Raw genomic sequence first — 23,142 nt, forward strand, 5'->3', positions numbered from 1 at the left:
GTTTGCTGCACCCATCAACCCATCATCTACGTTAGGTATTTGTCCTAATGCTATCCCTCCCCTAGCCCCCCATCCCCCAACAGGCCCCGGTGTGTGATGTTCCCCTTCCTGTGTCCATGTGTTCTCATTGTTCAACTCCCACTTATGAGTGAGAATATACGTTGTTTGGTTTTCTGTTCCTGTGTTACTTTGCTGAGAACGATGGTTTCCAGCTTCATCCATGTCCCTGCAAAGGACATTAACTCATCCTTTTTATGGCTGCATAGTACTCCATGGTATATATGTGTCACATTTTCTTAATCCAGTCTATCATTGATGGGCATTTGGGTTGGTTCCAAGACTTTGCTATTGTGAATAGTGCTGCAATAAACGTACATGTACACGTGTCTTTATAGTAGAATGATTTATAACCCTTTGGGTATATGCCCAGCAATGGGATTGCTGGGTCAAATGATATTTCTGGTTCTAGACCCTTGAGGAATCACCACACTGTTTTCCACAATGGTTGAACTAACTTACACTCCCACCAATGATGTAAAAGCATTCCTATTTCTCCACATCCCCTCCAACATCTGTTGTTTCCTGGCTTTTTAATGATCGCCATTCTAACTGGCGTGAGATGGTATCTCATTGTGATTTTTGATTTGCATTTCTTGACCAGTGATGATGAGCTTTTTTTAGTATGTTTGTTGACCGCATAAATGTCTTCTTTTGAGAAGTGTCTGTTCATATCCTTTGCTCACTTTTTGATGGGATTGTTTTTTTTCTTGTAAATTTTGTTTAAGTTCCTTGTAGATTCTGGATATTAGCCCTTTGTCACATGGATCGATTGCAAAAATTTTCTTCCATTCTGTAGGTTGCTTGTTGACTCTGATGATAGTTTATTTTGCTGTGCAGAAGCTCTTTAGTTTAATTAGATTCTATTTGTTAATTTTGGCTTTTGCTTCCATTGCTTTTGGTGTTTTAATCATGAAGTCTTTGCCCGTGTCTATCTCCTGAATGGTATTGCCTAGGTTTTCTTCTAGGGTTTTTTATGGTTTTAGGTTTTATGTTTAAGTCTTTAATCCATCTTGAGTTAATTTTTATATAAGGTGTAAGGAAGGGGTTCAGTTTCAGTTTTCTGCATATGGATAGCCAGTTTTCCCAACACCATTTATTAAATAGGGAATCCTTTCCCCATTGCTGTTGTAGATGTGTGGCATTACTTCTGAGGCCTCTGTTCTATTCCATTGGTCTATGTTTCTGTTTTGGTACCAGTACCATGGTGTTTTGGTTACTGTAGCCTTGTAGTATAGTTTGAAGTCAGGTAGGATGATGCCTCCAGGTTTGTTCTTTTTGCTTAGGATTGTCTTGGCTATATAAAATTTCAGGCCAATACCAATGATGAATATTGGTGCAAAAATCCCCAATAAAATACTGGCAAACTGAATCCAGCAGCACAGCAAAAAGCTTATCCACCACAATCAAGTCAGCTTCATCCCTGGGATGCAAGGCTGGTTCAACATACAAAAATCAATAAACGTAATCCATCCCTTAAACAGAACCAATGAGAAAAACCTGATTATCTCAATACATGCAGAAAAGGCCTTCAGTAAAATTCAACACCCCTTCATCCTAAAAACTCTCAATAAACTAGGTATTGATGGAGCATATCTCAAAATATTAAGAGCTATTTATGACGAACCCACAGCCAATATCATACTGAATGGGCAAAAGCTGGAAGCATTCCCTTTGAAAACCAGCATAAGACAAGGTTGCCCTCTCTCACCACTCCTATTCAACATAGTGTTGGAAGTTCTGGCCAGGGCAATCAGGAAACAGAAAGAAATAAAGGGTGTTCAAATAGGAAGAGAGGAAGTCAAATTGTCCCTGTTTGCAGACGACATGATTGTATATCTAGAAAACCCCATTGTCTCAGCCCAAAATCTCCTTAAGCTGATAAGCAACTTCAGCAAAGTCTCAGGATACAAAATCAATGTGCAAAAATCACAAGCATTCCTATACACCAATAATAGAGAGCCAAATCATGAGTGAACTCCTATTTACAATTGCTACAAAAAGAATAAAATACCTAGGAATGCAACTTACAAGGGATGTGAATGACCTCTTCAAGGAGAACTACAAACCACTCCTTAAGAAAACAAGAGAGGACACAAACAAATGGAAAAACATTCAATGCTCATGAATAGGAAGAATCAATATCGTGAAAATGCCCATACTGCCCAAAGTAATTTATAGATTCAATGCTATCCCCATCAAGCTACCATTGACTTTCTTCACAGAATTAGAAAAACTACTTTATATTTCATATGGAACCAAAAAAAGACACCAACTTTTAAAAATTAAAGTGAATTAAGGTTTTATTTTGTAAATATATGCATGGAGATATTTTGATATACCCCAGGCCGTTGCAAAGCTCATCTTTGGGAATCAGCACAACATGGTTGGCATGAAGATTGTTTCTTTGGGAGTATACACTACTGTGCTTCAGTTATTACAAGGAGAGTGCTTCCCAACTTCACCAAGATCCCTTCAATTATTTGTCTTTGTAAACCCTGGGTTATAAATAATTTTGATGATTGAACTGTATTTATTAATAGTTTATTTATTGTACTTTATTAAGCAAAAAATACATATAACTGCTAATTAAAGCTTTTAATCATCATGTGATATCCAACATAATTACAAGTTGATATAATTCTAGCTAAAAGGAAGTATATGTGATATTTGAATTAGCTGTTCTCAGGTAATTGTCAATTTTTTTGTTATGAATTTTGAAACATCAAATATCTTGAAAACTCCCAGATACTTACAGAGCTTCCTTATGATTCACACACTAGAATTTGAGAATGTAATGAATATGTTAGGAAATAATCAACCAAATAATAATTATCATTACTGCTAATATTTATTGGGAAATCACTGTATGCCAGAACTATATACATTTAATCCTCCTTTAATCCTAAATCACAAAGAAACTAAATTACTTACCCAGAGTCTGACAACTAGGAACTAGTAGTACTTGAACCAGGGGAGGTTTGAATGAATGGGAGTGAGGACTACTGTTCTCAACCCAGCAGTGAGCAATGAGAGAGCTTTAATAGATGAATCTTGAAGGAAGTTGAGATCTCTTGAAGGAGAGATTCATATTTATACCCGTTGAATTTTAAATTGTTAGAATATGTAAAAGCATCAGAACTGGGGTGCAGAAATATGTTGGGAGTGCTAAGACAGAGCTGGGGAAAAGGTGGTAAATTTTAATTTGCAGGTTAGTACCTGAATTTGTGCATTCGAGTTGAAGGTTGTGCAAAGGCTAGAAGTTGCACAAACCAATAACTTATTGGTCAGAGCAGGGAGTTCCAACCACCTAACAACATGTTTGGTTTGAGGGGATTGGTAAGTGTGGTAGGAGAGGATATTACCATTTTATGACAAGAGAACCAGGGTACAGGGTAGGGAAATGCATATATATATATATATATATACACACATTACACAATTGCATATATGGAGTAAGCGGGGAGGGGAGGGGAGGAGAAAGGCTCATTTTTAGTTAGCAGCTGGTGCTCTAGAGTTTCAGGATATTTAAACCTCTGTGGATTAGTAATTTGTCGCAATTTTATACCACTGGATGCCATAAATCCCAGGATATTGAGATTCCAGGGTTAGAACTCTAGCAATTTTAATACAATTAAATGCTGAGGGTGCTGGAGGACAAAAAAAAACAAAACCCACGAATTTGAAAGGTAAAGCTCTGAAAATGTTAAACATGAATCCCCACTTGCACTCCAAGTCAATCACAATTTTAGCCCTCAGGACAGTGGGAATGGGCTTGGGGGTTAGGGAGACAGAGGTGTTGAATAACAGAAAGGGCACCTGGGCAGGTATTTTGGGCCCCCCTCCCTAGCTTTAACTGGGGCAACTCCCAATTTATTTGTTTAATATATTGAGGGTTTCTTCATACAGTTTCATTTGATAAAGGCGTTCCAACTTTCAAAGAAAAGGGTAAAACCACTTCCCTAGGGGGGGAGAAAGGATGTGGAACCTCTAAAACGTGTTCCAATAGTTTACCTCAGCCTCTGTCCTTTTGGAAATAGGGGCAGATGTTAGCAAGGATGCTTTGGCTGGGAGGTTTGGATGGGCCAACTAATAGTTCGGTGTACCAGTCATCCCCTACTGTGAAACCAATAACAACAGCGGCAACAACAAATGATGATAATAGCAGCTACCATATAGACATCAACTCTGATCTGGCACAGGGCTAAATGCTTACATAGATTGTGCCATGCACAATCTCTACATGTAATTCTCTACAGCCCTGTGAAATAGGAACTATTATCTCATTTTGCAGATACTCTCACTCTTTTGCATCTAAAGGAATTGTGCATGCGGCCTAAATACATGTGAATAAACCAGAGTCACTTTTATTTATTTATTTTTAAATTTTATTTTAGATTTAGGGAGTATATGTGCAGGTATGTTACCTGGGTATATTGCATAATGCTGAGGTTTGGGGTACGAATTATCCCATCACCCAGAAGTCAGCATAGTACTCAACAGTTAGTTTTTCAACCCTTACCCTCCTCCCTCCTTCCTCACTCTAGTAGTCCCCAGTGTCTATTGTTGCCAGCTTTATGTTCATGCGTACCCAATGTTTAGCTCCAGCTTAGAAGTGAGAACATGTTGTATTTGGTTTTCTATTCCTGCATTAGATCCCTTAGAATAATGGCCTCCAGCTCCATCTATGTTACTGCAAAGGACATGATCTCATTCTTTTTATGGTTGCATAATATTCCATGGTGTACATGTACCACATTTTTCTTTATCCAATCCAGCATTCATGGGCCCATAGGTTTTTTCCATGTCTTTGCTATCATGAATAGTGCTGCAATGAACATACAAGTGCATGTGTCTTTTTGATAAAGTGATTTATTTTCTTTTGGATACATACCCAGTAATAGGATTGCTGGGTCAAATGGTAGTTCCGTTTTAAGTTCTTTGAGAACTCTCCAAACTGCTTTCCACAGCGGAAGACCTAATTTACATTCCCTCCAGCAGGGTATAAGTGTTCTCTTTTCTTGGCAGCCTTGCCAACATCTGTTGTTTTTTGACTCTTTAATAATTGCCATTCTGACTGGTGAGAGATGGTGTCTCTTTGTGGTTTTGATTTGCATTTCTGTGATGATTATTGATGTGGAGCATTTTTTTCATATGTTTGCTAGCTGTCTGTATGTCAAAAGGCATTTTTAAATCATATTTTGCAATTAGATTTAAGTAGTTTCTCAGGACTTATTGCGGCTGAAATATACACCAAGTCGAGGTGATCTATTCCTTTGAACTCAAATAAGTTCAGAAGGACAAATCACACACCGGGCTCTGAAGTCAGGAATGTTTGTTCGCTTATTCCAAGAGCAAAGTGCTTTATTTAGATTTAAGTAGAAGAAATGTTTTCTTCACAGAAAGGAAAAGTCATATTGGCATTGCATGTTTGCTTTAAAAGATTTTTATTAATTTGTTCATTCAACAAATATTTATTGGGAACTAACTGTGAGCTCTGAGCCCAGAATCTCACACTTACAGAAGTGAGGAAATGATTTGTCTGATATAAGCCTCAAGCCTAAGAAATTTCTAGAATTATCAAATCCCGGTTTAGGTGGCACCTATTGATTAAGTGTGATTTTTCAGCCCAGTTCCAATCGATATTTAGAAACACAAGCAGAGTGAGGAGGGTAGTAGAGTTGTAGATTATAAATCATAGAATTAAAGAACCTTAGAAATAAAGTAGCTCATTTCCTGTACTTTAAAAGCAAGAGAGTCAGACAGACACGGGTTGTTAACTGTGTAACCTTGGGCAGGTAACCTCTCTGAACCTCAGTTCATCATATGTAACATGGGAATAATAGCATCTGCCTTATAAAAATATGGTAAGGATTACATAAGATAAATTATCTAAAGTTCTTAGTGCAGTGTCTGACATATACAACATACTCAGTACATGTTTACTGTTATTGTGATACCTGTTTTCCATGTGAGGGGACTGAAACTCAGTGAAAGGAAGTAACTAGCGCAAAGTCACATAGCTTGATGATGTTAGGACAAATATTAGAACTCAGATCTCTACTAATAGTCAAATATGCCTTATACTACACACCGAGTTTACTCCCTGAGAGCCAGGTCATATACACTTCCTGGACCTGTGAGAAATATTTGGGCTAATACAAGGAGAAGGGAAAAGAATGACAAGGAAGTGCCTGACATAAGAAAATAATTCCTGGACTCAGAAAACAAAACAGCAAGGATGAAATAAAGAACAAGAGAAATAATTACCAGAAAGTTTACAAAGCAATGTTGGAGTATTATAACATGTAGTCAATCACAGGACTGATCTCTATTCTAACTCCTTTATTCACTAAAAGCGAAATTGACTTTTTTTCTTTTTCTTGAAGGTGTTGGTGGGAGGTGGTTTAGAATGCATTTGTGATTCATAGAAGGTTACTGTGAATGCAGCTTACTATACAATTTCTATTTGCAAAGCAAGGGAACCCCATAAATGAAGTTAGAATGGAAGCAAGAGTACTGCTAAGATATAAAGAATGATACATTATTAATTTTTTTGAGACATGGACTGGCTCATTATTAATTTTTTTGAGACACCAGGCTGGAGTGCAGTGGCACAATCACAGCTCACTGCAACCTCGACCTCCTGGGCTCAAGTGATCCTCCCATCTCAGCCTCCTGAAAAGCAGGGACTACAGGCATGTGCCACCACACCTGGCTAATTTTTAAATTTTTCATAGAGACTGGATCTCACCGTGGTGCCCAGGCTGGTCTCAAACTTCTGGGCTCAAGCAATCCTCCCGCCTCAGCCTCCCAAAGTTTTGGGGTTACAGGTGTAAGCCACTGCACCAGGCCCAGAAATGACAGATTTTAAAAGAATATTGGGCTGGAGTGACACCTCAAAGTAGAAGTTGTTGAGAAATTTAGTAAAAATAAGAAAACAATGGCTCAATAATAAAGTCATGTTGCTATTGCTTCATGTAGCTATAGTACAGTACAGCACTGAGAGAGATTGGTCTTTAGATGAAGATAGTCTTAAAAATTGGAAATATATGAAAAGAACCACTCGGTTTCTATACTAAAAGGGAAGGTTAATTTATACTTGCCTAAGCAAAAGATGATATATTCTTTCCTAAACTATTCTTCAGTTTAATGAAAGGCCTGCAATGTTGGTTATTACAAAATTCAAGAAATATTTAGGGGATTCCAGGAGTTTCCTAAAAGAAGCAAGGCCATTTTGCTCAATTTATTACTGCATAGTGCATGACACTCAGACTAGTGCCAGAAAATCTGACTGGAGTTCCTAGTCCACCACAAGGGATACATTGTGATTGTTTCAGGTGCATATGCTGTATAAAAAGATTGTTCCAATACTGTACACTTAAAAATTTGTTAAGAGGGTAGATCGCCTGTGTTTTTTTTTAATCACAATAATAATTTTTTTAAAAGGTTGTTCCTTTTCTTACCTCATAATTTTGAGTTTGCTAATTTTCCTCCCCTCAAAATAATTACATTTTATTTCAAGTAAAATATATTGGTAACAGCTTGATTGCTTATTCTTTTGATAATTTTCACCTTCACAGGGCATCAGGTACTGTTTATACAGCACTAGACATTGCAACAGGACAAGAGGTAAGTGCTAACGTTCAATCCTGATTTTTATTTTCTTTTATTCATATTTAACAGTTATCTTCTTCGATGGCAACTTCGCCTAAAAAAAAAATGGGTAGCACTGGGTTGACATAGGTGTTTACTTCCTTGGTGCCCAAAGCCTCTGAAGTGAGTAGTTTACCCATGATAACCAAAAAATAAAAAAAAAAGTGGGGGGCATGTGTTTGTGGCACAGGGAAAGAGCTTAGTAAATAAAGAATGTGTATGTTTCACTCTATGTCCCCCAAAATATGAATATTCATGTTTATTATAATGATTGTAATTCATTCTTGTATTTTAATTGCCATTCAGGTGGCCATAAAGCAGATGAACCTTCAACAGCAACCCAAGAAGGAATTAATTATTAATGAAATTCTGGTCATGAGGGAAAATAAGAACCCTAATATTGTTAATTATTTAGATAGGTAAGTGTTTTGTCTTATTATGTACTTATATTCTTTGTGGGATGTCATTTTTTCTTGGCAAATTACTTTATTTGGGATTCGTTCATTTAACATTCTGCAAATATTTCTCAAATGCTACAGTGTAGTAGAGTATTAGATCTATTGCTAAACTTGCACTCACTTAGCTTTGTCCACATATCAGACACTTGAAGAAACATTTTATGGTCTTGGTTGTAAATTTCATTTTGAGAATCATAGCTCCATTTTGGCAGAAAATAGACCATTGCATATAGGAGGGAGTAGTGGTTTAAACATTACATCAAGTGTTTGTCTGGAGCCAGTACAATTTCTGGGAGTCTAAGTGAAGAAGGCTGACTACAATGGCTTTAATGGGTGCTTTGTGATTAACTAACAGTGAGGTCTAGGGAATTCAGACTTTAATCTCAAACCTTTTTCCTAAACCTGGTAATTAATGTCTCTTTATCAGTGGTATTAACAGTGTGTTATAAATAGGTATTTAAAGGCAGCACTAACTCTTCACTTGTGGTTAACATCTGTCTCATTCAATTTCAAAAAGAGTTTGTTTAGTACCACTGTGCGGTGTTCTCTGGAGGGGATACAAAGAAACTAAATCTAGGTCTTCAAACTCAATAAGCTTAAGATACTGTTTTCTGCTTTTTGGGCCAGGTAGACCAATGTTACAGAAGAAGGAAAAACTGGGAGGAAAAAAGAGGGTTAAATTTTACAGTCCTTTTTTTTTTTTTTTTTTTTTTACAGAGTCTTGCTCTGTCGCCCAGGCTAGAGTGCAGTGGCGTGATCTCAGCTCACTGCAACCTCTGCCTCCTACGTTCAAGCAATTCTCCTGCCTCAGCCTCCCAAGGAGCTGGGATTACAGGCGTGTGTCACCATGCCCAGCTAATTTTTCGTATTTTAGTAGAGACGGGGTTTCGCCATGTTGGCCAGGCTGGTCTCAAACTCCTGGCCTCAGGTGATTCACCCACCTTGGCCTCCCAAAGTGCTGGGATTACAGGCGTGAGCCACTCCACCCGGCCGCAAATTTTACAGTCTTGATCAGTGTCTCCTAAAGTGTAACTTAGGAACCACCTGCAACAGAGTAACCTAAAGTCATTCTGTGTTTGTAATTTTGCAAAAACAAAAAACAAAAAACAAAAAACAAAAACAAAAAAAAACAAAAAAAACAATGCATTTGCACTTATAAAAAATTCAGAATTCTAGGCTGCTTTCCATAAATAATAAGATGAGGACTGTGAATTTTTGTTTTTAACAAGCTTTCCAGATGAATTTTATGGACACCACAGTTTGAGCACCACTGGATAGAAAATCTTGCTTCACATTGATATGGGTCTTAGGGCAGGGTGGGAACATTGGGTTCATTCCATTTCCTATAATTCATCTTTCTTGATAAGCAAGGTTTCAGAGAGACCTGATTGTACTGCTAAAGTGCCGTCAGATGGTGTCAGGTGATTTGAATAACCTCATGCTCTCTTTGCCTGAATTATAGGGCTCTGGTGACCCTTGGCTCCATATTATGATCACTTGGAGTATGTCCCTCAATACCTTCTCAAAGGTAATGGGCATAGCACAACTCAGAGTTGACTTCTATCAGAACTGAGGCCTGGGAATATCAGAGTCCCCAGGTTTTTTAGCGTCATAAGGCAAAGTCTTTTCTTTTCTTGTTATAGCTACTTGGTGGGTGATGAACTATGGGTAGTCATGGAATACTTGGCTGGTGGCTCTCTGACTGATGTGGTCACAGAGACCTGTATGGATGAAGGACAGATAGCAGCTGTCTGCAGAGAGGTAAGCAAATAGAGCATTTCTAGCTGAGAAGACCACCGAAATTGGCAGTTCTTCATTTCTGATTATTCAGAATGTTTGTATCATCAAAGTAACAATAGTAGAACTTTTCCACTGAAAACAATTGGAGAGGCCAACTTCAATTTAAATTCTGTCCTAATAGCACTCCCCAGCATCACCCTCCTGAGCCTCTTGTTTATTTTAGCTGCCTTTTGTGAATCTTTTAGTTCCATTATGCCATTTGTGAGGTGCCGTATCTAAACCCACATGCTGTAGTTTCCGTGAACATGGGAAACAGTGATATTGGCATAGCACTTCTTTCTAATTTGGGGAAGTTTTTACATGATACTTATTTTATCCTGCATGTGTAATATGAGCCATGTAAAATAAATTATATTTTCATCATTTTTAGAAGGCAATTTAAACAAGGTCCTCCCTCAGGCCAGAAAGCAGTTGCTTTCACAGTACAATCTGAACTTCCCTTACAGCCCCCAAGTGGGCCTGACGGTCTGTCTCTTTTCCAGTAAGTGTCATACCCCTAAGGGGTTTCAAACTAAATTAAAGAGATGTTATTATATTTATTTTGTTGAATATTAAAAAACACACACACTTTTTTACTGGAGTCTCATCTTAGGCATTATAATCTATCCCATTTATTGTGGTGAGGTTTTCTATCAACAAAAGTAGGAACTCTGACTCACTGAAACTTGAAAACCAATGATAGAAAAACAAAACTAAGTGATATCAGCTAATCTCTGCTTTTTTTTTATAAGTTGTTCACTTAAATTTCCTCCTTCCTTGCTCTCCTCTCATTATCATTTTCCCCACCCCACATATCCACCAAACATATATGTTTTCTATTCATTCAATACATTAAACTTACTACCCTGAGCCTGTGGTTTCCTTCTTCCAGCATTACACTGCAAAGGCATTTCCAAACAAGTGCCTATAGTTACTTCATAGCCTAGGAGTGGTTCCCAAACCTGGCTACCCATTAGAAATAGTTTGGGGCACTTGTTTTAAATGCAGATTCCTGGGTTTCATGCCAGAACTTCTGAATCAAATCATGCCATCTACAATGAAGCTTACCACAGCTATAGAAGACCAAGCTGAATCCTCCAAATAACTGGGCCAAAGTATATTAATTGGTTAATTTGACTGTATTATTGATTGGTGCTATTTATCACATTATCATTCTTAATGTCCTAGTCTGATGTGTCAGCCATCATACTTAGCATGATAATGCTAAGTGGCATCATTGATGTAAATGGTAATGTGACTTTAAAGTGGTGTTGTTAAAGCATTCAGTAATCGATTTCACTTGACAATATAAAGTTATATCCCTGCCCAAAATTTATCTAGAAATAAAACTTAGTATTAAAAATTATTTGTGATATAATTAGAACTTTTTTTTCTGATTTAATAGTGCCTGCAAGCTTTGGATTTCCTGCACTCAAACCAGGTGATCCATAGAGATATAAAGAGTGACAATATTCTTCTCGGGATGGATGGCTCTGTTAAATTGAGTAGGTATTTTGGTTCAGGTGGTATTAGAGTATCAGGGAATTTCTGTTCTTTCATTGTATATCTTAAGAAGATAATGGTTACTGAAAGTGATTTATTTGAAAGAAGTTACAGCCCAGTTTGAAGTAAAGAATTTTTCTAACACTGTGTTCCTGAATATTGTGACCACATTTTTTGGATTTAATATTTCAGAATTTCTAGTGACTTGTGGAATGAATAAATGACAAATACCTAATTAGGAAACTGAAAAATTCTGTAAGTTTGAGAAAACAGTGATGAGAGGGAATTAGATTGAAGTCTAGTAAAAATGACATCACGTTAGTCAATTATTTCAGACCTTCTTAAAATCAGGACCAGCTGAGACATCAGTTAACAAAAAGGTATGAGCTAGGCAGTTGTGGAAACTCAGTGTGTAGCAAAGGAAGGTACAGCCATATCTGAAAGTGATATATTGTAAAAGGAAAATAATTTGGGCTTATTTTAACTGGCTTTTCTTCTCTGCAGCTGACTTTGGGTTCTGTGCCCAGATCACTCCTGAGCAAAGTAAACGAAGCACTATGGTGGGAACCCCATATTGGATGGCACCTGAGGTGGTGACTCGAAAAGCTTATGGTCCGAAAGTTGATATCTGGTCTCTTGGAATTATGGCAATTGAAATGGTGGAAGGTGAACCCCCTTACCTTAATGAAAATCCACTCAGGGTAAGTCAGAAGAGAAGTCAGGTACTTTATTCCCAGGAAAGAGGAAAGGCCAAATATCATTTCTGGCTTCCACCAAAAGTGACCAGAATGGGCTCTTTTCTGAGACCAGTAACATAGAAGCACCAAGTTATAATTTTCAAATTTACTGTAAGCTTTTTAAAGTTTATCTTACAATGTCTCAACAGTTTTCCTTGTCTTTTTCTTTCTTTCTTTCTTTTTTTTTTTTTTTTTTGGAGAAAGAATAACTACCCTTTTTTTCTCTTTTTCTCATTTAATTCTTTTTTCCTTCCAACTTTCATTTTAGGTGCAGGGGGTACATACGCAGGTTTATTATATAGGTAAATTCCATGCTGTTGGGGTTGGTGTACAGATTATTTCATCTCCCAGGTAATGAATGTAGTACCCAACAGGTAGTTTTTAGGTCCTCAGACTCCTCCCACCCTCCACTCTCAAGTAGGCCCCAGTGTCAATTGTCCCCTTCTTTGTGTCTGTGTGTACTCAATGTTTAGCTCCCACTTACGAGTGAACATGCAACATTTGGTTTTCTGTTTCTACATTAATTTGCTTAGAATAATGGCCTCCAGCTGCATCCATGTTGCTGTAAAGGACATGATTTCATTCTTTTTTATGTCTACATAATATTCTATGGTGTATATGTTCCACATTTTTGTTATCCAATCCACTGTTGATGGACATCTAAATTAACTCCATGTCTTTGCTACTGTGAATAGTGCTGTGATGAACATACACGTGTGTATGTCTTTATTGAAGGACAATTTATATTCCTTTGATTATATATCCAGTAATGGTATTGCTGAGTTGAATGATTTATATTCCTTTGGGTATATACCCAGTAATGGGATTGCTGAGTTAAATGATTTATATTCCTTTGGGTATATACTCAGTAATGGGATTGCTGAATTGAATGATAACTCTAAGTTCTTTGAGAAATCTCCAAACTGCTTTTTACAGTGGCTGAACTAATTTACATTCCCTCCAGCAGTCTATAAGCATTCCCTTTTCTCCTGAACCTCGCCAGCATCTGTTATTTTTTGACTTTTTTTTTTTGAGACAGAGTCTTGCTCTGTTGCCCAGGCTGGAGTGCAATGGAGTGATCATGATCTTGGCTCACTGCAACCTCTGCCCACTAGGTTCAAGTGATTAGTGCCTCAGCCTCCCAAGTAGATGGGATTACAGGCATGCACCACCATGCCTGGTTAATTTTTTATATTTTTGGTAAAGAAGGGCTTCACCATGTTGGCCAGGCTGGCCTCAAACTCCTGGCCTCAAGTGATTGACTTGCCTTGGCCTCCCAAAGTGCTTGGATTACAGGCATGAGCCACCAAACCTAGCCCCTTTTTGACTTTTTAATAATAACCATTCTGACTGGTGTAAGATGGTATTCATTGTGGTTTTGATTTGCATTACTCTAATGATTAATGATGTGGAGCATTTTTTCATATGCTTCTTGGGCACATGTATGTCTTCTTTTCAGAAGTGTCTGTTCACGTCTTTTGTCCATTTTTTAATGGGGTTGTTTGATTTTTGCTTATTAATTGAGTTCCTTATAGAGGCTGGATATTAGATCTTCGTCAGATGCATAGTTTGCAAATATTTTCTCCCTTTCTGTAGGTTGTCTGCTTACACTATTGATAGTTTCTTTTGCTGTGCAGAAGCTCTTCAGTTAAATGAAGTTCCATGTGTCAATTTTTGTTTTTGTTGAAATTGCTTTTGGAGTCTTCATCATGAAATCTTTGCCAGGGCCCATGCCCAGAATGGTATTTCCTAGGTTTTCTTCTAGGGTTTTTATAGCTTTAGGTTTTACATTTAAGTATGTAATCCATCTTGAGTTGATTTTTGCATATGATGAAGGGAAAGGATCCAATTTCAATCTTCTGCATATGGCTAGCCAGTTATCCCAGCACCATTTATTGAATAGGTAGTCCTTTCCCCACTGTTTATTATTGTTGACTTTGTCAAAAATCAGGTGGTTGTGGGTGTGTGACTTTATTTCCGGGTTCTCTCACCTGTCCTATTCATCTATGTGTCTATTTTTTTTTTACCAGTACCATGCTGTTTTGGTTACTGTAGGCTTGTAGTACAGTTTAAAGCCAGGTAATATGATGCCTCCATCTTTGTTGTTTTTGCTTGGTATTGCTTTGTCTATTGGGGCTTTTTTGGTTCCCAGTGAATTTTAGAATAGTTTATTCTAATTCTGTGAAAAGTGTCATTGGTATTTTGATATGAACAGTATTGAATCTGTACATTACTTTGGGCAGTATGGCCATGTTAAAAATATTGATTCTTCCTATCCAAGAGCATGGAAAGTTTTTCCATTTGTTTTTGTCATCTCCAGTTTCTTTCATCAGTGTTTTGTAATTCTTGTTGTAGAGATCTTTCACCTTCCTGGTTAGCTGTATTCCTAGGTATTTTATTTTTTAGGGCTGTTGTGAATGGGATTGTGCTATTGATTTGGCTCTTAACTGGACATCGTTGGTGTATAGAAATGCTACTAAGTTTTTTAGCATTGATTTTGTATCCTGAAACTTTGCTGAAGTTGTTTGTTAGATTTAGAAGGCTTTGGGCAGAGACTATGGGTTTTCTAGGTATAGAATCATATCATCTGGGAAGAGAGATAGTTTGATTTCTTCTCTTCCTATTTGGATGCCTTTTATTTCTTTCTCTTGCCTGATTACTCTGGCTAGAACTTCTAACATTTTTCTAACATGCTTTGATTGTATTTTTAATGACAAGGGTCTTTAAGATTCCTTAGTATAGCTTTCTAATGTAAAATACATGTAGCTTTTTTTTTAAGTGAGATGTGGGGAGAAAGTACTTTTATTACATGACATGGTTAAATGATCAATCTAAAAAACACTTGCTTTATAATTACTTTAACAAAGTAAATAAATGCATTTCCAGAACAGCTGTAATTTTTAAATTGGATTTTCCTTCATTATCAGTAATGATTTATTGATTAACAACAGCTTGGTGGGTATTGAGTGGAACACAGAGATAGACATAGTGCCAACCTGGTGAAATCAGAAACTTAATTAGATTGTCAAGTAGAAAATGATTGGAAACAGTTTCCGTTTGGTAACTCACTTTGCTACCACAAAATCAGAGATTTGATCTTCATGTGATCTTGTTATCCCTGCAAAGAGAAAAACTTCATTTCACAACCTAATCCTATCATCTTATTTCGGAGATGTGCTGTTGATCATGAGGAGGAAAGGAAAGAGGTATGAAAGAAATGCTTACTCAGTGCAGAAGTGAGCCATAGGTATTTTGTTGTGTATAGCCCAACAGTGAGCTATTAATAGAAGCTGTGTTTTGTGTCTATAACAGGCATCACATTGTTTAAAAAAGAAAATATGCACAGATTCAAATTCTACTCTCAAAGTTCAAGCACAGTGCTAGTATCATAGGCATCTTGTATACTGCCTGCATCATTACCACTAGGAGTCTAAAATTGAATTGTACCCTTGGTATGCCAAAAAAAAAAACCATTGTTCTTAGTAAATGGTTAAGTGTTTTCATATAAAGCTTGCAAAATCCATGTTCAAACCAAATATATGTGGCTTTCTATGCATGTAAAGAGACCTATAAACTAACTGTCTAGTTGTTTTGCAGTTAAACATTTTGTATTTGGGAACTGCATTCCCTGTATATGGAGAGGAGGACAGCTTCCTCCTGGCTCTCTCCTAACTCCTCTCTGGTACTTGGCCTCTTGTTTTATTCCCTGTGCTGATTAGAAAACAACAGATATGAGGGAATGCCCTAATGAATGCTATAGGCTATTTCTCTGATCTCATGCAACAATCTGGAAATGAGATGTGCACATTGATTAGCTGCCTTCAGGGCTGAGTGGAAAAGAAGGGGCATTTTCCCACCGTTTGTGGGTTAGCCCTCCATGGATTTAATCAAGTCCACACCTGGCCTATGGTCCAGCGCATCAGGATAATTACATGGGCTTTTCCTTATTGTTTAACCACCTTCACCCATTAAGAAATAGCAGTGAAAGAACACATCGGACCTCTTGTTTCTATGGATTTCCTCCCCTAAGTCTTTGGAGTTTGGAGGCACTAAATGGATTATGGCTATTTTGCTTTCTGCCTTCTAATGAGTAATTTACAGCCTGCAAATTTTAAGGATTAAACAAATGGCTCTGTAAAACAACTAGTCTCAGTAATGGATTTATTACCTTCTTCAATTCCCCAATTACAATTGATCTCTCTTTAGCTAGGCTGCTAATTATTAGAAAAAGGAAACAAGTTTTAATCTTTATAGGCATCTTCTAGCCTAGGATTAGAACTCACAATTAACAGCTTGTATCTTAGATGCCACCGCCTGATATCTAAACAAGTACTTGCAGATTAACAAACCACAAGGTTCAGGAAGCCTACATTAAGTCTGCAACAAAAAGACCTGTGAGAAAGACCACCCTGTTGAATTCCACTGATAAGGATTTACTCTAACTTTGCTCATTACTCTCTGTATGTGTGATCAACCTTCAATTAATCAATCAACAAGCCCATACAGAGCTAGCTTTATTCTAATTTTGTCTCTTCTAGGCATCAGGAGTACTTTTTTGGTTTCGATTTCAAATATGTTTTCCTAATGTTCTCTTGAAGGAAACACAATGTCTCAGGCTATATGCCCTTATTTGGAATCTTTAAAATGTAGTCGCTGAAACCATGGGGAGATTGGAGAGAAAAAGGATCTAACATGAGCCTATAGGGAGCAGCGATTTCTTGGATCCTGGTGCCCAGGCCATATGTGGGGAAATAGAAAATAATCCAGAGCTTTAAGAGGAGTATAAAAGAGTGCCAGATTAGTCTTCTTTAATATCCTTCCAACACTACAACACATCCACTATTGTGTGCTTTGAGGTGGAAAGAGGTAGAAGGAAGGAAGTGAAATAAGTGTAAGAAAGACAGAGTAGTAGAGTACAGGGTAGCATGTTGATGTGAAAAATTTTGGTCCTGTAGTCAGGCAGATCTGGGTGTGTCCTGGCTCTACAACCTGCAAGCTCTGTGACCTTCTGCAAGTTACTTAAAACCTTTCTAAGCCTGCTTCCTATCTGTAAAATGAGAACTATGTCTATCTTACAGAGTTAGCATGAAAACTAAATGAATAATATATGTAAATCACCTAGCACAGTGTCCAGTTCACTGTAGGAAAAAAATATATATGTATATATTTATATATATGAAATGTATATATGGATAGTAAAGTAGTAAGATAGGAAAAACAGAGAAAGGATGTTTAGAGGGTTTTTTTTACCCACTCATGAAGGGAGGTTGGATTCAGCACTCTCCTAAGAACATATCCTTCATGAGAGTGGCACACCCATCTACTCAAGGAATGGAGGGTTTTGCACAGTTCAGTACAATTACCATGAACAGGTAACACTGAACAGAAGAAGTTCAAGGTGAAGTCTGGGGCTATACATTTCAAGGTCATTTATGTTTCACTGTGAGTTTTTCTGTGTCTCTGTTGTATCAGTTCCAGCTGAGCAGACCCTTTATGAATATTGCCTATTAACATATTGTTAATGCAATGAATTAACTACTTTTCCCCTTAGTTAGAAAGTGGCTGAGATTTTTTAATGTAAATGTTGCTATACTAATTGACCTAATTTGTTCATAAAATGCCTTTTAAAGGTCAGAGAGTTATTAATTGTACTGATGTTATGAGGCTTGTACCCTTCCAGAGAGAGAGGACACAAGCTTCTTACTGTCCCCCACTGCCTGAAGTCTTTGTACTCAACATAATTGGCCTTGGACATGTTGTTCTGTGACCTATAGACAGTTTTAGTGCAGCCTCCAATAATTAAGTACCTTGTTCCTTCTCTTTGCCAAAGTGACTGGGGTTAAAAATCTAACTTTCCCTGTGGATATACAAATCAAATGTTACTGTTGCTGATATCATCAACTTTTTTGTTAATTGAAGACTTTAAACAACTGTTATTATAATAACTTGATGCTAAGTAAGGAGACACAATCATTTTTGTCAAACAAAACTTTGGTCTATTTTCTCAGCACCCAGAGAGTGCCCCTTTATTAACTTTGCTTTTACACGTAATGGGGCTATTCTTATCAACAGGTTTTGATGGAATTTGTTATTTGTGAAATGTAAAAAAATGACATCCACTTGAAGTCCCTACTAGACTCTTTGAAACACCTTTTATGGTAATGTTCCAAATCTTTATCCAAGTTAAAATAGATTTTAAGTGTTCTCTTTCTACCCCTTACTTGAAACATCTGTGAAGCTGTATCGAAGATTGGATCGCTGGAAGACAGTTATTGGTATCACTGCTAAAAACAATATGTAGTATAGTATGTGAACCACAGATCCTGTATCAGTGGATCTCCTTGGTTGCACATTGGAGTCATCTGTGGAGCTTTAAGAACCAGCGATTCTAGGCCCCCATCCTCAGGGAAAAATGGCAATCAGGAAATGTCAAATATCAATGTGGCAAGCCCTTTATAGAACACTGTCCAGCCTGGACAACAATTCGTCATCACCCCTCTTTGAACATGGTCGTCCAACCAAAAAATAACACTATCATTCTACTCACATTTATCCATTTTGTCTAAAAACTTATGAGTAATACTATAAAAGCCTAATTGAAGTCCTGATGTGCTTTATGTCATTCTCTGATTTACCAGTTGAGTAGCACTATCCAAAAAGAAATGACATTAGTTCAGCATATGCCTCCATGATATGCTATTTTCTTTTGCAATTTTGCTTCTTCTGAAAATGGAGTTCATCATTAAAATGGGCTAGCTGCTGACCGAGTAGCTAGCATATATTGGTGCATAATAAACCCATCAGTCTGACTACTCATGATTAGGAGTGCATTACCTATATGGCAAGGGGGAAAGGAGGACAGAAATCTAAAATCAGACCTCTTATCTACACTAGTAGGCTTCCCACTTCCCTTTTCCTGCACTTAAAGCACTACAGAAATGTTAGTTGTTCTTATTTCTTCTTGTGGGAACAGGGAAATTATAATTGGCTTATATGGCTAGAGAAGAGAGTTAAGCAGAATAAGAGAATCTCTAGTAACTGAAAAGCAACTAAAGGCTAAACTGTTTCTAAATCCCTCCAAGCACTGGGACTTTGCTGTGGATTGGAATGTCTGGGTTTGATGGCGTGTGCTCATTTGGAATTAAAGTCAGACATAAACTTCCTGAGTGCCAGAGAAGCAAGCATACTTTGCTAGCACTCAGTCAATATTGTTTTGAATGTATTTCAGGAAGAGCTGGGAGCATTCCCTTCATTTTCCATAAGCCATGATGGAACAGCAAGGTTTATTGATGGTTTGTTGACACTCCTCCTATTTTGAGGGCAAACCTATGCCTAAAAGGAGGGGGAAGTTGGGATCACTACAACTAAAATAATTACAGAAGAATAACAGGGTTCCTTTTTAATCAGAAAAAAATATTGCCTGTCAAAAGATAGACAGCTCTTAAGAATCATTGGTTGTTAGGAATTCAGCATAGGAAAATGGGACTTAGCCATAGGAAAGCTGCAAGTCTCATTTAGAATGTAATTCAGAAGCAGACAGCTCAAACTGGTGAATTATGACCCAGAAAACAGCCAAAGGAGAAATTGATTCCATAGCAAACTAAAATCCACCAAGAGAAAATGAGAGAAAGAAAGTTTATGCTACTATTATGTTATAATTTCTCAGAATCCTTATAGCATGGCTTGGGAGTAAAACAAGGATGCATATGCTGATTGCCCTAATAGGTACCATACCTATAACTAAGTAGTTAAGTCCCTCCAGATCAAAGTTAATTCTAAAGAGACAAATCATGGAGTGTGATGATCGGCATTTGCGCACTGAAATGCCCATGCACGTGTTTTATCCTATGGCTTTTGAAATCTGTGTTTTTGCCAATGAAGAATTATTTTACCAAGAAAGTTGGAGTTTTCTTAATAATTAAGATAATTTCTGACCTTTATTGTCATTTTGATTGATACCTTTTCCAACCGGGTTGCAACATCATTGTAGAAAACCCTTTGCATTCTAATAAAACAGTACTCTGAAGTGTCTTAGATAAGACGCTCTGCAGAGAAAGTTAAATCAATTAAGGCAGTGTAAGAATTGTAGCTGGGAGAGTCAGAGTTCTAACATTATCCCAATAATCAAACTGACCTTTCTGTTGTAGCTTTTTTCTTTCTTTTCTTTTGCTTTATTTTTCTTTTCTTCTTTCCTTTGCTTTGTTTTTTTTTTTTTTTTTTGTAAAGAATTACCCTCACGCTCAGATGGCAAAGTTCATCAGCACATTTTTTTTTTTTTTTTTTTTTTAATCTAGGAGGGGCCAATGACTGTGAGAGATCTAGACAAGGAACTTTCTAGTGTCTCTACCAACTGTTCGCATTATGCGGGTTAAAGAGTGAATTGTATTCCGATGTCTGTCAGTCAAGAAATCCATAACCTTGTGCAGGTTTCTTCTTGCTGAGCCTACATTTCCTTATTGCTTCAAAAGAGTGGAATTTCACTAGATTTTTGTTTACCAGTAGGCTCCACAATGCCCTAGAATACCATAGAGTTCCTTGAGGGTATTGAAGGAGCCAAGAGGGAGGTAACCAGGATAGGGCTCTTGGTTCCACCAGAATAGTTCCTTTTTAATTCCTTTTCTGTCTTGCGCCATCACATGAGATTTTCTTAAATAAGGCTAAAAACTCGTGAGTCCCTTACTCTGATTCTGTGTCCTTTAGCTGTACACAGCCTACAGCCTTCCCCAACTCTGCCAAAAGGGCCATGTTTTGTGTGTTGTCTCTATGAGTCTCTATGAGTACTTTCAGAGGAGTGGTATTCAGAAAGCAGCTTGGAGACATTTATCTCATCATCTCTGGAGTAAATCTGTATCCCACAGAATGGAAAAATCCTCCTTTTCCCACCAAGCAAAGACACTTGATCATGATGTGAAATATACTGTATATGAGACTTGGTAACTTCATTCTGATAATAATCTTGGGAAGAAGCCAGTGAAGAACACTGCAGTAATAAAGCTATTGCAGGGACACAAGGTTCCTCACTCTGTAGTAGTATTAAAAGAATTGTATATTATTATGTACGGGCCTGTTCAGCTGATTAACTGCATATAAAAATAGAAGTTGAAATCAGTTTATGTGACTAGTAATGCATGTTTCACAGATCATATCACAGTCAGCCTGTTTTAATCCTAATATGGTAATTTGGAAAAGCCCAAAAGAATAAGAGTGCTAGTCCCTTCTTGCACTAATATTCTGAAATGAAACATGAACAAATGTATAATATTAAATATTACCTTAGGACTAGAAATTTGTTGTGTGTTAAAGAGAAAATGGGAGGTGAGGAAGTTGATAAACCAAGTATACACAGTATTTTGAGAAGTTTTGTGGGAAAAGGACCAGGAGCAATGGAGCAGTCACAGAATGGGACCTAGGATCCAGGTCCCCTTGGTCTCCCAGATTGTCTAGCCCTTATCTATCTTCATTTCTCTTTGTCCTCATTCCACCAGCGATATTCTCCTCCCATTGTCTTTTGGCCCCTGTTTTTGCCCTAAAGTTTTGTTTTGCTTCCTCTGCTTCTCACAGCTTCTTGCCTCTACCTTTTGCACCATTTTGCTTTCCTTCCTTTCCTAGCTCTGTACCTACCCACATCCCTACTTCCAAATGCCCTATAGTTCCAAACCTTGGGTACTGCTTTGAGTGCCCAGGGTTGCTTCATAAGCACAAGCAGCCCCCTCTGCAATTCTTAGCAAGCATTATTAGTTCTGAGAATGAGCACACATATTGTTGGAGTTATCTGTAATTTATTTTATGGCATTGGTCAGTCCTTTGTGCTTGAAAGGAGCACATTTAAGCTAGGCTAACAGCCAGTGAGTCAGCCCTACCTAATTACCTTTTACTATCAACCTATAAGGGGATAGATCTATAATAGGTTCATTTTAAATAGCCTTTTAAGGATTAAACAACAAAACAATAACAATTGTCCCTCATAATTTAGTGACCAGTGAGAACTTCTATGTAAGACAGGTAGGAAGCTAAATTAGACCACATTGCTCATTCAGCTATCACACTGAAGTTTTGGGTTGAGTAAGCCCAAGTATGGAATACAGCGTTCATTATAATGTGATTATTTCTTTTTGTATATTTGGCCCTCATTACTCTCTTCTAAAAAAGACATGGCAGACACTTTCATGATATCCATAAACACATCAGAGGCAGCAATATACTCTGGCTTTTAAACTGTGAAATCCCAGGTCACGAGTAAACTAAGTCATAAGGTGTTAAGTCACTTGTTGGCAAATATCTCTCATAAAACACTCAAAGTTAGTTGGAGATTCTAAAACAACAAAAGAATCAGATTAGGAGTCAGTTGCAGGCAACAACCAGCTGCATATAAACCTTCAATGTAGATAGATATATACGTGTGTGTGTGTGTGTGTGTGTGTGTATATATATATACATATATACATATACATATATGTATGTGTGTATATATACATATACATATTTACATATATATGTGTGTATATATATACGTATATGTGTGTATATATATACACATATACATATACATATACACATACACACACATACATATATATACACACACACACAGTTGAGCCTCTGATCCACGGGTGTGAAATCCATGGATTCAACCAACCACAAATCAAAAGCATTTTTTAAAATGATGGTTTCATTGTATTAAACATGTACAGACTTTTTCTTGTAGTTATTCCCAAAACAATAAAGTATGACAACTACAGTCATGTGCTGCATAACAATGTTTTGGTTAATGATGGACTGAATATACAGTGGTGGTCCCATAAGATTATAATGGAGCTGAAAAATTTCTATCACCTAGTGATGTCATAATATCCTAATTCAATGCATTACTTACATGTTTGTAGTGATGATGGTATAAACAAACCTACTTCTCAAGAAGAGCTTCAGGCAGGTCCTTCAGGAAGTATTTGCAA

General features: G+C 37.3%; 1 protein-coding gene across 35 annotated transcripts in view, besides 1 other annotated feature; it reads left to right on the forward strand.

Moving 5' to 3' along the window:
• PAK3 (p21 (RAC1) activated kinase 3) overlaps positions 1 to 23,142 on the forward strand; it is a 282,965-nt gene that overhangs the window by 240,090 nt on the left and 19,733 nt on the right. For all 35 annotated transcript variants that reach the window (NR_136747.2, NR_136748.1, XM_047442148.1 and 32 more), the window contains 5 exons: positions 7,641 to 7,689; positions 8,020 to 8,132; positions 9,815 to 9,932; positions 11,356 to 11,455; positions 11,958 to 12,154. Coding sequence is in view for 33 of the 35 variants with exons in the window: in XM_047442148.1 (XP_047298104.1) it covers positions 7,641 to 7,689; positions 8,020 to 8,132; positions 9,815 to 9,932; positions 11,356 to 11,455; positions 11,958 to 12,154 (577 nt within the window). In the remaining 2 variants the exon portion in view is untranslated. The remainder of the gene's footprint in view (positions 1 to 7,640; positions 7,690 to 8,019; positions 8,133 to 9,814; positions 9,933 to 11,355; positions 11,456 to 11,957; positions 12,155 to 23,142) is intronic.
• Positions 10,944 to 11,445: an enhancer, noted in NCBI's record as "NANOG hESC enhancer chrX:110438658-110439159 (GRCh37/hg19 assembly coordinates)". NCBI's record gives its function as "activates a minimal SCP1, AML or CMV promoter by ChIP-STARR-seq in naive H9 embryonic stem cells {active_cell/tissue: H9 hESC(naive)}" and the evidence as "EXISTENCE:reporter gene assay evidence [ECO:0000049][PMID:30033119]".

Source organism: Homo sapiens, chromosome X (genome assembly GCF_000001405.40).
Source record: "Homo sapiens chromosome X, GRCh38.p14 Primary Assembly".
In the NCBI taxonomy this organism is placed as follows: domain Eukaryota; kingdom Metazoa; phylum Chordata; class Mammalia; order Primates; family Hominidae; genus Homo; species Homo sapiens.